General features: G+C 34.6%; 1 protein-coding gene across 10 annotated transcripts in view; it reads right to left on the reverse strand.

Annotated features, from left to right (window-relative positions):
* Positions 1–12,551, reverse strand: part of SATB1 (SATB homeobox 1) — a 100,216-nt gene that overhangs the window by 85,928 nt on the left and 1,737 nt on the right. For 2 of the 10 annotated variants that reach the window (NM_001131010.4, XM_011533988.4), the window contains exon 1: positions 7,261–7,432. The exons of the other annotated variants lie outside the window; for them this stretch is intronic. The gene's annotated coding sequence lies outside the window, so the exon portion shown is untranslated. Of the gene's footprint in view, positions 1–7,260; positions 7,433–12,551 lie in introns of those variants that run through there. 10 annotated transcript variants of the gene reach the window in all.

The following is a 12,551-nucleotide window of genomic DNA, read 5'->3' on the forward strand; positions in this document are numbered from 1 at the left end:
CGAAGCCTTCTCCAGTTGTTAGTTATTTCCTTCTCCATGCTCCATCACACTGCCTGAATGCAATGTGACATTTCATATCTATCTATATGTCTGCCTCTCCAAACTGCAAGACTCTAAGCATCTTGAAGGTTTACTCATGTATATATTTCTGCATTCCCTTTGACAGTCTTAGGACGTAAAACCAGGTACTGAGATCACAATCCAGATGTCCAGGCTGAACCCCACTGCAATTAAATCAGAATGGCTGAGGATGAGGAGAAGACATTCAGTTTTTTAAAGCTCTCAAGGTGATTCTCATATACAGCCAGGTTTGGCATCTACCAGGTTAGGTGATGTTTTAGAGACAGAGAATCAAATACTCAGGACATCTCTGAGGTGGTTTTTAACTCACTCCTGGAGTCACTTGGAAAAGCTAACCTGTTGTATGAACCAGCAGTAGACCAAAATTTGAGAAATGTATATGTGGGCAAGCTACTTGTTTCAAATTTCTAAAAAGGCAATAAAAGTGGGGGCAGGAAGCTACTGGATCATTGATTTGGCAAATAAATACATGCTATTTGAGGAACCATAATAAACTAGCATTTGGGCACTTGTTTGAGATTTACTGGGGTGCCAGAAATCCTGTGCAGGTATGTTATTTATCATGATAGACATTAAGTGACTAACCACAAAATTATACATGGAAGTACAGTTCTCAAACCAGTCTATTATTTACTGGAGCCAGAACCATCCAAGTTTCCTCTAATTCTTTTTTCAATATAACATGATTTTTCTCTCAGACAACTGTTCAACCTTGAGTGGGCTTCTCTTTGAAGGGCTGAAAACTGTTCAACTTATTTCCAGACTGTCACTGCACTTGAACAGAACCAAAGTATTTAGACTGTCCATGTCAAGGAGCCAACTGCAAAGCATCCTAGACCTAGTTGCTGTGCCTTTAATATTCTCAGAAAGCTCGAGGTAAAATCCTCCAATTTTTAATTCCGGTGAAATCGAACAGCAACTGTTCCCAATCAACTTTTAACCAAGATGTACATATCAACCAAATTTCCTTAGTTGATATGAATGTTATTTCTAATCTTTCCTAGCTTAATTGGAGGGAGAAAGAATTCGCGATAACAATGGTCCTGAATCCTTGTCCAGGTCATTTTTGTGGCAACATCAGCCAAAGGCAATATCTGATATTGTACTGCTATGCCCACCACCATAAGGCACTGGACGAGGCATTGTCCGTTGGAAGGAAAGCCACCATCAGAAACAAATGCTTCACACCTGGACAATAATTAAATACTACTGTAACACTTGAAATTTGTTGAAGTGAAGGAGAAATTAAATTCAAAACTAAAGCACATTGTATTTGGGCTGATAGAAAAAGAGTTGGAAACAAACTGTGGTGATGGTTGCACAACAGTGTGTATGTAATTAATGTCACTGAATTGTACACCTAGAAACAGTCAAAATGGCGTATTTTTTAACACATATTTTACCATATAAACATTTTCAAAAAAAAAAAAACAAAAGCAAAACAATCTTTCATGTATGCCTAGTATTGGCAGATATATAATACCAGGAAAATATCATGCCAAGCCTCAGAGAAACAATGAGCTACATCACATTGAACAATCCCATCCCCACCCCAATCTTACATTGCTTTGTCCTTACCTGCTAACAGCTACAGTCCAGTCTATGCTACACAATTAATATGATGAATACCTGACCCAAGGATAATTAACATGGATTGGTAATTAGAGACCAAGATCCCACTCACTTTGAGGTTCCTTCAATGTAAGAAAATGGTTCTCTTTTAAGGTTTTATTCAATACAATATCTTAGCCAAAAAAAGAGAAAGGCGCATAGACAAAAACAAACAGGAGTTCCTTAAGTCCAAAAAATTCTTTTGGAATGTTTTTCAAAACAGTAAAAATTAACTATATGCATGAAATAGATTTTCTCTGTTACACAGTACTTTGAGTGTCACGCTCATATATGCAGAACAGCTGCAATTGTAACAACTGTATAAAGTACTAATTTGCAAATTGTCTACATAAAAAGACTTTAGATTCTATTTTTTTAATAAAAGAAAATTTTGTTTAAAAAAACGCTTTCAAATTTAATCAGCTCAGTTACTTTTTTAGTGCTAGTAATAAGGATGAAAGTATATCTACATATAATAATTTGAAATATCATCTTTTCCTGTACTGTTCCACATTCAGTTTTCATATCATCTATTCCTATGGATTTTATATTAAAAACTTGTATTAATGATGGAGTTTTTAATGATTTGGAAATTCATGTATAAATCATTTTATTGAAGTTCGTATCTGTATTTTTTTCTTATACGCATAATTAAGGAATGCTAATAAAGTGAAACCAACTTACAAACATATATTTATTATGTGTAAAAGCATTAAATAAAATACTAAAAGACAGCTTCACAGTATAGCTATGCTTAAGGCATATCCAGTTACCTATCTTGTAGGTGCCTTTTTCTTTATTAATGTGTTCATTTAAAAATTTATTAGATAACTAGCATGGACTATACATGGACATTTTGAGCCAACATGAAGGAAAAAGTTGATAAATAATGCCACAGTAGAACTTTAAAAAAGAACTAGAGAGCCTTGAGGCTGTTTTTTAATCATTTATTTTTATTTATTTTGCAAAGACTTTTCATTTGTGTTATTTAATACATAAATACACTTGAGAGAGAAACAAATAGCACATTTATGAAAAATTTTGATGGAAACCAGCTTTCTGTTTTAAGGCTAGACTGCTTTAAAGGTCAATATCCACTATTCTTCTATTACTTTTACAGTTGAAGAAACACTACATATTCACATTATATTTAATAAAAATTAACCTCTCATCTCTTCTTTGAGGTAACAAGGCTCTCAAAAATAACTTTTTATTTCGCTTTGTGCAAAGGGGTTTTGTCACTAAAAATTTACAACACTGCAACCAAGTGTAAATGTATCTTCAAGGCTGGCATATGCCGCAGTTTAGGATGTAAAACCAAATCTTGTGGCATTCTCAATAGATTTGAAAAATCCAATTGTTTGGCCAACATCCAAGTAAGAATAAGTATATATATATATATAAAATATACACATAGCATAACATTTTTATATGTACACAGATAATATTTGCATGTTATACAAGAGAGTATTCCACAATTTAAAACTAGTCTACCACAGTTTTCATCAGAAAGCCTTTAAAACTCAGAGGTAGTATAATACCCCTACTATTAAGTAACTCCCACAAAAAGGAACATAAGTCACATAGTGGGAAAAGTAGTGGAGAAAAGATAGAGAAACTAGATTTGGGTCTTGCTTCTTACTCTACTCACTAGCTGAGTGATCCTTCATTAGTTAAGCAGGATCAGGTTCCGTATCTATAAAATGAATGGATAGAGTCTGATCATCTTTAAGATCACATAAAAAATCTCTTTCTTCAATTAAAAAAATTAAGTTCACTTGAAAGAGAAAATATAAATATAAGGAAATTTCTCACATGCTACGTTAGATGTTTATCTCTATATAAGAGACAGGTGTCAAACAAACAAATAAAAAAAAAAAATAACCGCTAAGGCAAAGAGAAACTTTAACTCACCAGATTCCATCTGTTACATCTGAATTCATGCATAATTGATTATCCATGACTGGTAAATTCTTTTCTCACTAGCCGACCACAATTTTCTAAACGTTGTGTATTAAATCACTACTAAAGTAGACTGCATTTCAGAAACGGCATGGGGCAGAATACCAATATTTTAAATGAAAAATTACATGCCGGTTAGTAATAATACAGCTGACCTATGTTTAAGGGAGAGAAATTTTAATCATGTGCATATTAAATATTAATAACCTATTCTGTTATTGTTATAATAAGGTTAAGTAGGCTTCTCCATGCTTAAAGAAAGAGGGAGAAGTAGGAATGCATAATGGTGCAAAAAGATACAGAGACAGGAGACAGACATAAGGAAAATGTGTCAACAATAAACAAGAGGAAATGAGAAAGAAGGAAAAGATGAAGGTGGAAACTAATCTCTATGTGTCATTATGACTGCCAGAGTACTGGCAAAGAAGCAGCATCCTTTTATTTCAATTTTAATCATTTCTGAATTTTAATACCCGGCTCCTTTTGTAATTCTCCTGGCATTCCCCATATGCCTCCATCCCAGCCAAAACACCAGTGTAAATTAAATGGCAGGCAACCACACCACTGATGTAGCCTCCCCAAAGAACCCACCAGGTGACCAAAAGCAAAAAAGGTATGTCTACCTTATGTCCCTGAGGACCTCTAGCCAATTAACTGGCTGAATGTTTTCTACTTTCTTTAATTTTGAAAAGAAGGACAGTAGTTAGGTAATCTACAGATAGAGAATCATTAAAAAAAAATAAAGCAAGCCAGTAGTAATACAATAATCAGTGACCATCAGGGCCTGGAAAAATGAGTTTGCTCTCATTGGCACTAAGGAGCATCACATGATTATTTAATTACAGCTCTAATTTTTGTCTCGTGGATGGCAACATATCAACAATTAATAGGGCAAATAGAGGAGACTGTGTTTTTAAAGAGACAGAATGTGCATGATAATGTAATAGGTCACACAGCAGTGCACCACTTAAGAAATTCTGTCTTTTGTGTAACTAAATAGGACTGTCTTACAAGCAGCCCCACTCATATTTTAAAATGAAAATAAATTTTAAAAGGAAGTGTCTTTTTTAGATAACTTTCATAGAATGCCTAGAACTTTTCAGAATATTTTGGATGCAGCTAACACAACCCTACTGCAATTTCAGAATTAGTTTTAAGGAATGGAGTAAAATATTCATATACAAACACTCCAAATCTTAGAGTACTTTTCAAACAATGTATTTAAGCTGCAATGAAAAATATCTTTTTATGCAATAATTACAGTAGTATTTATTCAATGGGAGCCTGAAAAACAATCATTATTGTAGGAAAGAACGCATAGAAGGTCAATCAGCCTTGAGGCACTAGTCCATAATATTTTTGGTTCTGGAATATCAGAAGGATGGCTACTTGGTGGCTCAAATTGCAAGGAACTCAGGGGAGTGCTCTGTTTGACTCCGGTATTGTTTGTTACCACAACCAAACACCAAAGAATGAAGCTGAGCAGGCACACTTAACCTAATACTGAAGGTCAGACAATGAGGATAGAACAGAGACCCAGGTGCTACCAAAAAAAAAAAAAAAAAAATCATCCAATTATCCAGAAAATGAGGCATGTGCAGATTAAGTGTTCAGATAACCCTAGTAAAAACAGAAAATTAGAAAGAAAATTCTCTTTGCCAATAAATCTTTATCGGCACAAGCTACATTTTATATTTTATCATTAATTTAGCAATTCTTTAATGAGTGCTCAATACGTACAAGGCACAGAATGCTAACTATGAACTTTCTGTTTTATATAACACAGACATACCTTATTACTTACTTACTTTTTTGTAGTTTAATACTTACAGAAATATATAGCAGCTTCTACAAACTTCAGAAAGTGGGAATACTAGTGCGTTTTTAAGAGCCATATTACGAGGTTACAAGATCTACAAATTCAAATCAACCAAGATAACTCAAATAGTTAACCAATTTGATAGAATTGTCTAAGTAAGCCTAAGTCCAGCTTTAAATCCCTCTAGTTTCAGTAACCCATTGTTTTGCCATTCTAGAAGCCATAGTGAAAATCCAGGTTTGAGATTTAGACAATGAAATAATCTTAGAACTACCTCTGTGATTAACTGCTGAAATGTATGTAGAATATTAGGTTATATAGAGTTTTAAGTAATCACAATTTGGCTAAAGAAAAAGTGACTAAAATTATTCCACAAAAAGAAGTATTAAGAGGAGCAAAATCAATTAAATAAGCTTTTAATGGATTATGTTGGCCGAAGTCATCAAAAAACAAGAAAACATGGGTATCTCAAAATACAATTTGGAAAAACTAAAACCACTGAGGAGCAATAATTTCTAATGACACTGGAAAGAAAAAAAAACAGGAGAAAAATTTTATAACCCAGTGAAAAGTTTTAAAATTAAGTTGCTTTAGTAGAAAACCTTTCATAATTCTGAACCAAAACCCTGACTCCATACATTCTAAAAGATTTTTTTTAAAGAATCAAGCAAGCAGCCGCTTGTATGTTAAGAGTATACATCATTCTTTTTTAACATGGTTGTTAATATATAGTTAACATGTCTCAGAAAAGGCTGTAATTAACTGTCTACTGCTCTAATAACACTAATAAGCATACAGTATTATTAAAATACAGTGATTCTATACAAACTGTCATTGTTAAACTTTTAAGATAATGTTCTAAATTGTTTCTGAGTCCTCTTGAACCACCCAAAGGGAAATGCAACTCTAAGAAAATTTTTAAAACATAGTTATTAAAATATTGTTTTTTCCTCCCACAGTCTGGAGATCACTGTCTACCATTAAACAGTACATCTAAGTATCATTTCAGTTGGTGAAAATACAATGGGAAGCATTTGGATTATTTTACAAATTCTATAGATTTTTTAAAAATTTAAAACTGTATGCATCTTAATTTAGTACTTCATTCATTGATAAAATATTTTCTGGGGGAAAGAAAGGCTTGCTATATCAAGAATCACATAGCCTTGTTGTTAATCCCCAATGATTTCCATTGTCTGTTTCACTAGAACAGGAAAACTCAATTGCATTCAATATCAAACAGCTAATTATGGATATGCTATATTCAAGACTATCTCCATTTCAAAGATATCTGCATACACTAGGTTCTATTTATAATAATTATTACAATAAAATATTTATAACATAAAACCTCTTTTGCCTTAAAGTCCTTAACATTATAAACATTAAAAGGCCAAATTGTCATTTACATGCTCTTAATGGCATATCAGGAACCAATGAATAAGACTATAGAGGAATCTCTAGCAATCAACTCTACTACATGCCTAGCTTCCAGGAAAACTGCATCTAAAGAATGCCCCCTCACACAGATTACTGACTACCTTTTCTTTAAATATTTCAAGAAGGTCTAATAATTCTCCCTGGGAACTTGCTACTGTATCTCACCACCCAAAAAAGAATGCCCACTGAAGAATTTTTCTTAGTATCTGGTCCCAAATTTTCTAGAGCTGAGAAAAAGCAACATCCCAACAGAAAGCCCTCCCCCGAACACTCAATGCCTATCTGTCACTGTGGCTGGAGTCCTGATTCTCCACATGTAACATTACAGTAACTTTTCTGGCACTTACCCTCCAAATATCAGAAGCTGCTCTCTGAATCTAGCCCTACAGGAGATGTCTGAAAAAGTAGTCTTTGATGAGGTGACAATGATGAAGTTCTCTCTGGCACTGCTAGCAAGGCAGAAACATCCCCAAATGAGGTGGTTACCAGTTGCCTGTGAAGCAGCTGGACCATTACTGCAGTTCTGAGGGTGCGTCACAAATCAGGTCATAGCTCTGGGTAGAGTCCACCCACTTCACCCAGTATAACGCCCTCTACTTCCTGCACACCTGGGGGAAAGGGGTGCGGGGGGCGGGCAGCTTAAGTCCACATAGGTACTAGTAAAGGCACAGCGAGGTGCAGCCTGACATCTGCTTCTTCCGCAAGCATTTCAGCCTCATCTGGGGACCTGCACCCCTAGGTATTCAAAAATGTGTGCAACAATAAGCAGGCTCTAAAATGAGTGAGGAGTGTAATAAAATATTGCACAGTTAAATGTTTTATCCAGCGAAATCTTTTCTCCACTGGAAACTGAACCAACTCTTAATTTTTGATTACAAGCCACTTCTCTACCAAATGTCAAATAACTGGACTGAATAAATTTCAGCAGAAACCAGGGACATAAATCCTGAGGTACCAGTTAACTAATTTTCATCTCTTGTAACTAAACTACATCACCGCATAAACTGAATTACATCCTTGAAAGTCCATTGAAAGAGGTTATTAGAATTTCGCTTCTGAACTTTCAAACTGCAACAACTGTAAAAGTGATACAAAATAACTTGAAAGCATAAAAATAGGCCAATATGTTGAAGAAATGCTACACTACTAAATCTCACCCTGAATATATACACACACAATCTGTATCTATTTACTCTGAAATATCTAATCTTAAAAAAGACTTAAAAAAATAAACAGCAAAAGATACCATTGGCATAAGTTCAAAAGTATGAAATAATGTGTGTTAATGTGTTGATCACACTCTATGAAGACATCAAGTTTAAATAGACTTACCACTGAGAACAGCATTTAGGAACGATATATAAATTACTATAGTAGACACTTTTTCTTCAGTGTAGTGAAGGAGAACCTTATGTAACAGATTTGATTTATATGTTGTTATTAAGACCATATTCTACCCTGATGTCAGTGGAATATGTGACTAGGTATTGATAACTGTGTATAGACAGTTAAGTGTAACCGCTTTTTAGATAATTTAAGTGAAAATAAGCCTTTTCTCAAGTTAATTGTGAGTTCTGGAATTCAACTTTAACAGTATTTTGATGTTTCAAAGGGGTCTTGAAAAAGAAAGGATTTTTATCATAAAAGAAAAACAACAAATACATTTAGTATTACAACAAAGTAGAAATCTCCCTTATTTTAAGGATGGCAGATTAACAAGAAGTCAAATGAAGGAGTTAAGAATATTTTCAGAGAAAAGCTTAGCGAGTCAATCAATAAATCAATCAATGAGCCCCACTTTATATTCATATTTTCAGAACTCCATTAAAAACTTAAACATTCCATCTAAGACTTGGAAGAGGAGACACTTTATTGAAGTTATTATCTGAGGAATCAAATAGTTTAATCTTTTTGGAACTTTGTAGAAAGTTAATTTAGCAAAACACATTTGAATGTGTTTGAACATATTTATCCTGAGGTTGCTTTAAGATGACTATTTTAAGTGGCATGCAGATTCTTTTGGGGTTTTGATGTTATAGTTGAGGTATGCAAAGTAAAAGTGCATAACATTTCTTTCAACTGGTTCTCACATGACAGAAATGAAAAGATGAAATTACTTGTCTTTAAAGTTTTGCCATAGGGAAATGATAAGAAAAACTCCTCTCGACCCCTATCCCCAACCAGGAAGAGTCTGAAGCCCTGGATTATAGCACAGGTAGATATTAAAATGGAGACAGAGCCGTTATTTAGTGGTGACAGGAATATAAATACGTGCACTAAACTATAAACTGGTATTTACTTCAGGAAGGTAAGTAATATTTTTCCTCTGATTGCTGCACTGTCAGTTTAATGCAGCGTAAATAAACAGTAGGTGCCTGCTAGCTCGAAGTAGGAAGTGTTCATTCCACACGAGGAACAGATTACTGAAGCCTGATGCTCATCATGCTGAAACATAACTTTCATTTTACCAGAAAATATACCCTACTGTGGATGATTTTTCGTGCCTGATCTATTAATTAACTTAACTCTGTTCTGTCAAAATGTAAACCAATTTGTAAAAATCATCACAGAGTTTTGGAGTTTGAAAACCAAATCAATTTGAAAAGCAAGAGTAATGACTGTTCTGTAATCTGATCACAAATGCTAAAAATGAATACTTAATATAATAAGCACAAACCACACAAAACTGAAAAAGACGAAAAACATTTTGAAATATCATAGAACTTAATCCAAGTTATCTGATTTACTCGAGATAGTCCTCATTTGTTAATTAAAAGCACCTGGCACCTTTAATATTTTGCAGCCTTGTGCCACTTTGGTCTTTTCAATATGTATGCTTATTCTGCTCTCTGAAATATCTGAAGGTAAACCATTCATAAAAATCAAACCCCATTCCTTAATTCCAATAGAAATATTGCTGAACTCTCCTGAGAGAAGCGGCAAGTTTGAAGATCAAATGATGATATCCTTCCTAACAGCATTCATGTAAAACGTGTTTTTTCTATTTTATGTATGCCACAAAGCTATGACAGTATATAGCAACTAATTTTCTTTTTATATATGAGTACTGAGCAAAATATTTCGTGGCAGCATTTAAAATAAGAACCCATCTTATCTAAAAAGTGTAAAAGGCAATCTGGGGAGGTTTCTATTTATAACATGAACAAAATTCTGATAATCAATATATTGAAAAGGGAAAAGAGATTAAAAACATTTTTGCATTCAACTACATCATGTCTAGAAATAGTCTGAAGATTGCTTTAGTCATATGCATTTATTTTAAATACTTCATCAATTCCAAGTGCTAATATATTAATTACAGCCATCCAAGACAATATGTATGGAAGAAACTATGTGTGTAAAGGGCATATCTATGTATAGCCCTTTTGGAAATTTACAGAACAGATGAAAACCCACTAGAGTGCTTTATAGAGTCCCTGCTGTATATCCATGTTGTGTTTAGCTTAACAGTGTTTGTAACCAAAATATTTTTACAATAATGAGGAACAGGTGCCTGTCACCTGACCTTTTAGGCCTAATTTACAATCCACAACCTGTCATATGAAAAAGAACTAAAAATTCTCCTCCAGATATTTTAGTCTTTACTAAGTTAATGTAGTATTTCTTTACCATCACTCAGCATATCATGTCTTATTTAATCACAGGTTCATATAGCTGGCAACAGATTTCTTTGCAGAAATAAACCAATATTCATTTTGTTGTCGTTCTTAAGATGCTGGGAGACAAAAGAACTACTTTTGTAGATTATCAACCAAAGAATATATTAATTTCTTACAAATCTGAACAAAAAACATTCCTTTTGAATACTTTTACATACAAAGAACTATTATTTATTACATATTTCAGCTTGTGGGAAAGTGAGGAATGCATTGATTCTGGAAATAACTATTCAGACTTTTGGAAGTTATTTAGGTCTTCTTTCTCTATCTTCCCCCCGCCCCCCATCCTGCCCTCCCACCAAATTTTAAGGAGGTAGTACTTTAGGAGGGAAATCCCTATTCGTTATTTTTTCATATATTATTTATATTCATTATTCAGAAATAAATACAAAATTGAATTGTAATTTTATTTCTCTTGTATAATGTTAGATGTAGCATTATCCAAATTTGACAATGCCTTGTATTTTATAGCTACTGTTTAAATATTATGTATTACCTATGACTGAACAACTCTACATTTAAAATATTGTTTTCATTAGAAAAAACTATGAAGTAGTAAGTGTCAAATGAAGATGAAGAATAAACATATTTGGTATATTTATAAAATGCATAGTCATTTAAAACGTGTACAAATAGAATACATAGTTTGCTACTGTTACATTTTATATAGTATACACATTGTCTACAGTGTATTTAATAATGTGCTTAACCAAGTTAATTAAAGTATTTATGTCTGATGATTGTGTAATAAACACTTGGAGAGGTAGTGAAAGATACAGCCAGTTACTTCTGCTAACTAAAGTTGAAATTATGCACTTATTATAACCTTTTCTAACAATGTGAGAAAAACAGAGTAAATATATTAAATTTGTTTCACAACAGATGCTTAGGTTGTTAATATTTAAGATGCCTATTCATGCTATTCCTGTCTGCACATTTGTCAAAAATGTAAGCTTGAATGCTAATGTTTGCCAGCAGACTGGAGCAGCCAGTATATGAATGTACTACTGTTCTAAGAAAATAATATGCAATAGAAATAGAGGACTACTGCTAAATCATAGCAGTAGTACCATACAGGAGATGAGAGGTTTTTAGAGCAAACACCTCAACCTTGGTTTTCTTCAGACTTAAAGTATGGGTTTTTGTTTTTGATTTTTGCAGCTACATTTGACCACAGAATAAATCTCACATTCCTGACATCTCAGAAAAATCCACTTTGGATAGAGTGTAAATTTCAACTAAGTTTCAACGGGATGAGTTACTCTGTCAGCAGTACAAACACCGTAAATTTCAGATTGCTTAGGACAAAACCTGACACCGAGCGGTAACATTTTACTCATTCTTACCCTACCCGCCACCCCCTTGAGAAAGTCAGGTCCCCTGGCCTCCAAGGATGCAAACATGGAAACCCAGTCAGTCAGAGCAGTAAGGTTCTCTCTGGGGAATAGGGCATCCTTCTGTTTTCCCTGTCTCTTTTATAACCATGTGGAGTCCAAGTCTTAGAACATTTGCTTGTAAGTCCGGAATGCCACTGAGAAAGTTCGCCAAGGAAGGGCGCAGAGGTCAAAGTTGCCAACCAGGACACTTTGAGAGAGGACCCTGTGGTTGACATTTGTTAGTGAAATTTGCAACACCTCAGTGGAGGCCAAGGCCAAAACTTTCAAGGAGATCCCTATGCCCCTTTCCCCTGTTGGTCTTCTGAGGTCATCCCAAGAGGAAACTGCGTTTCCCCAGTAAGCACGTGGCACTCCCCGGACCTGCCACCTGCCTGCTTCGTCCTTCTCGTCGTGGTTTCCCAAACCCCGGTTCTGCCGGCCCGGGAGCCTTAGCACTGGAGCAATAGGAAAAGGCCACCGCGCTCGGGTCTGGACAGCAGGAGGGAAACACGGTGTGGACTGCGAGGCTGCACCTGTGATGTCCCGGCCCCTGCTAAGAGGACGGCCCTTTCTTCTGCCTCT

Source organism: Homo sapiens, chromosome 3, assembly GCF_000001405.40.
Source record: "Homo sapiens chromosome 3, GRCh38.p14 Primary Assembly".
Lineage (NCBI taxonomy): Eukaryota > Metazoa > Chordata > Mammalia > Primates > Hominidae > Homo > Homo sapiens.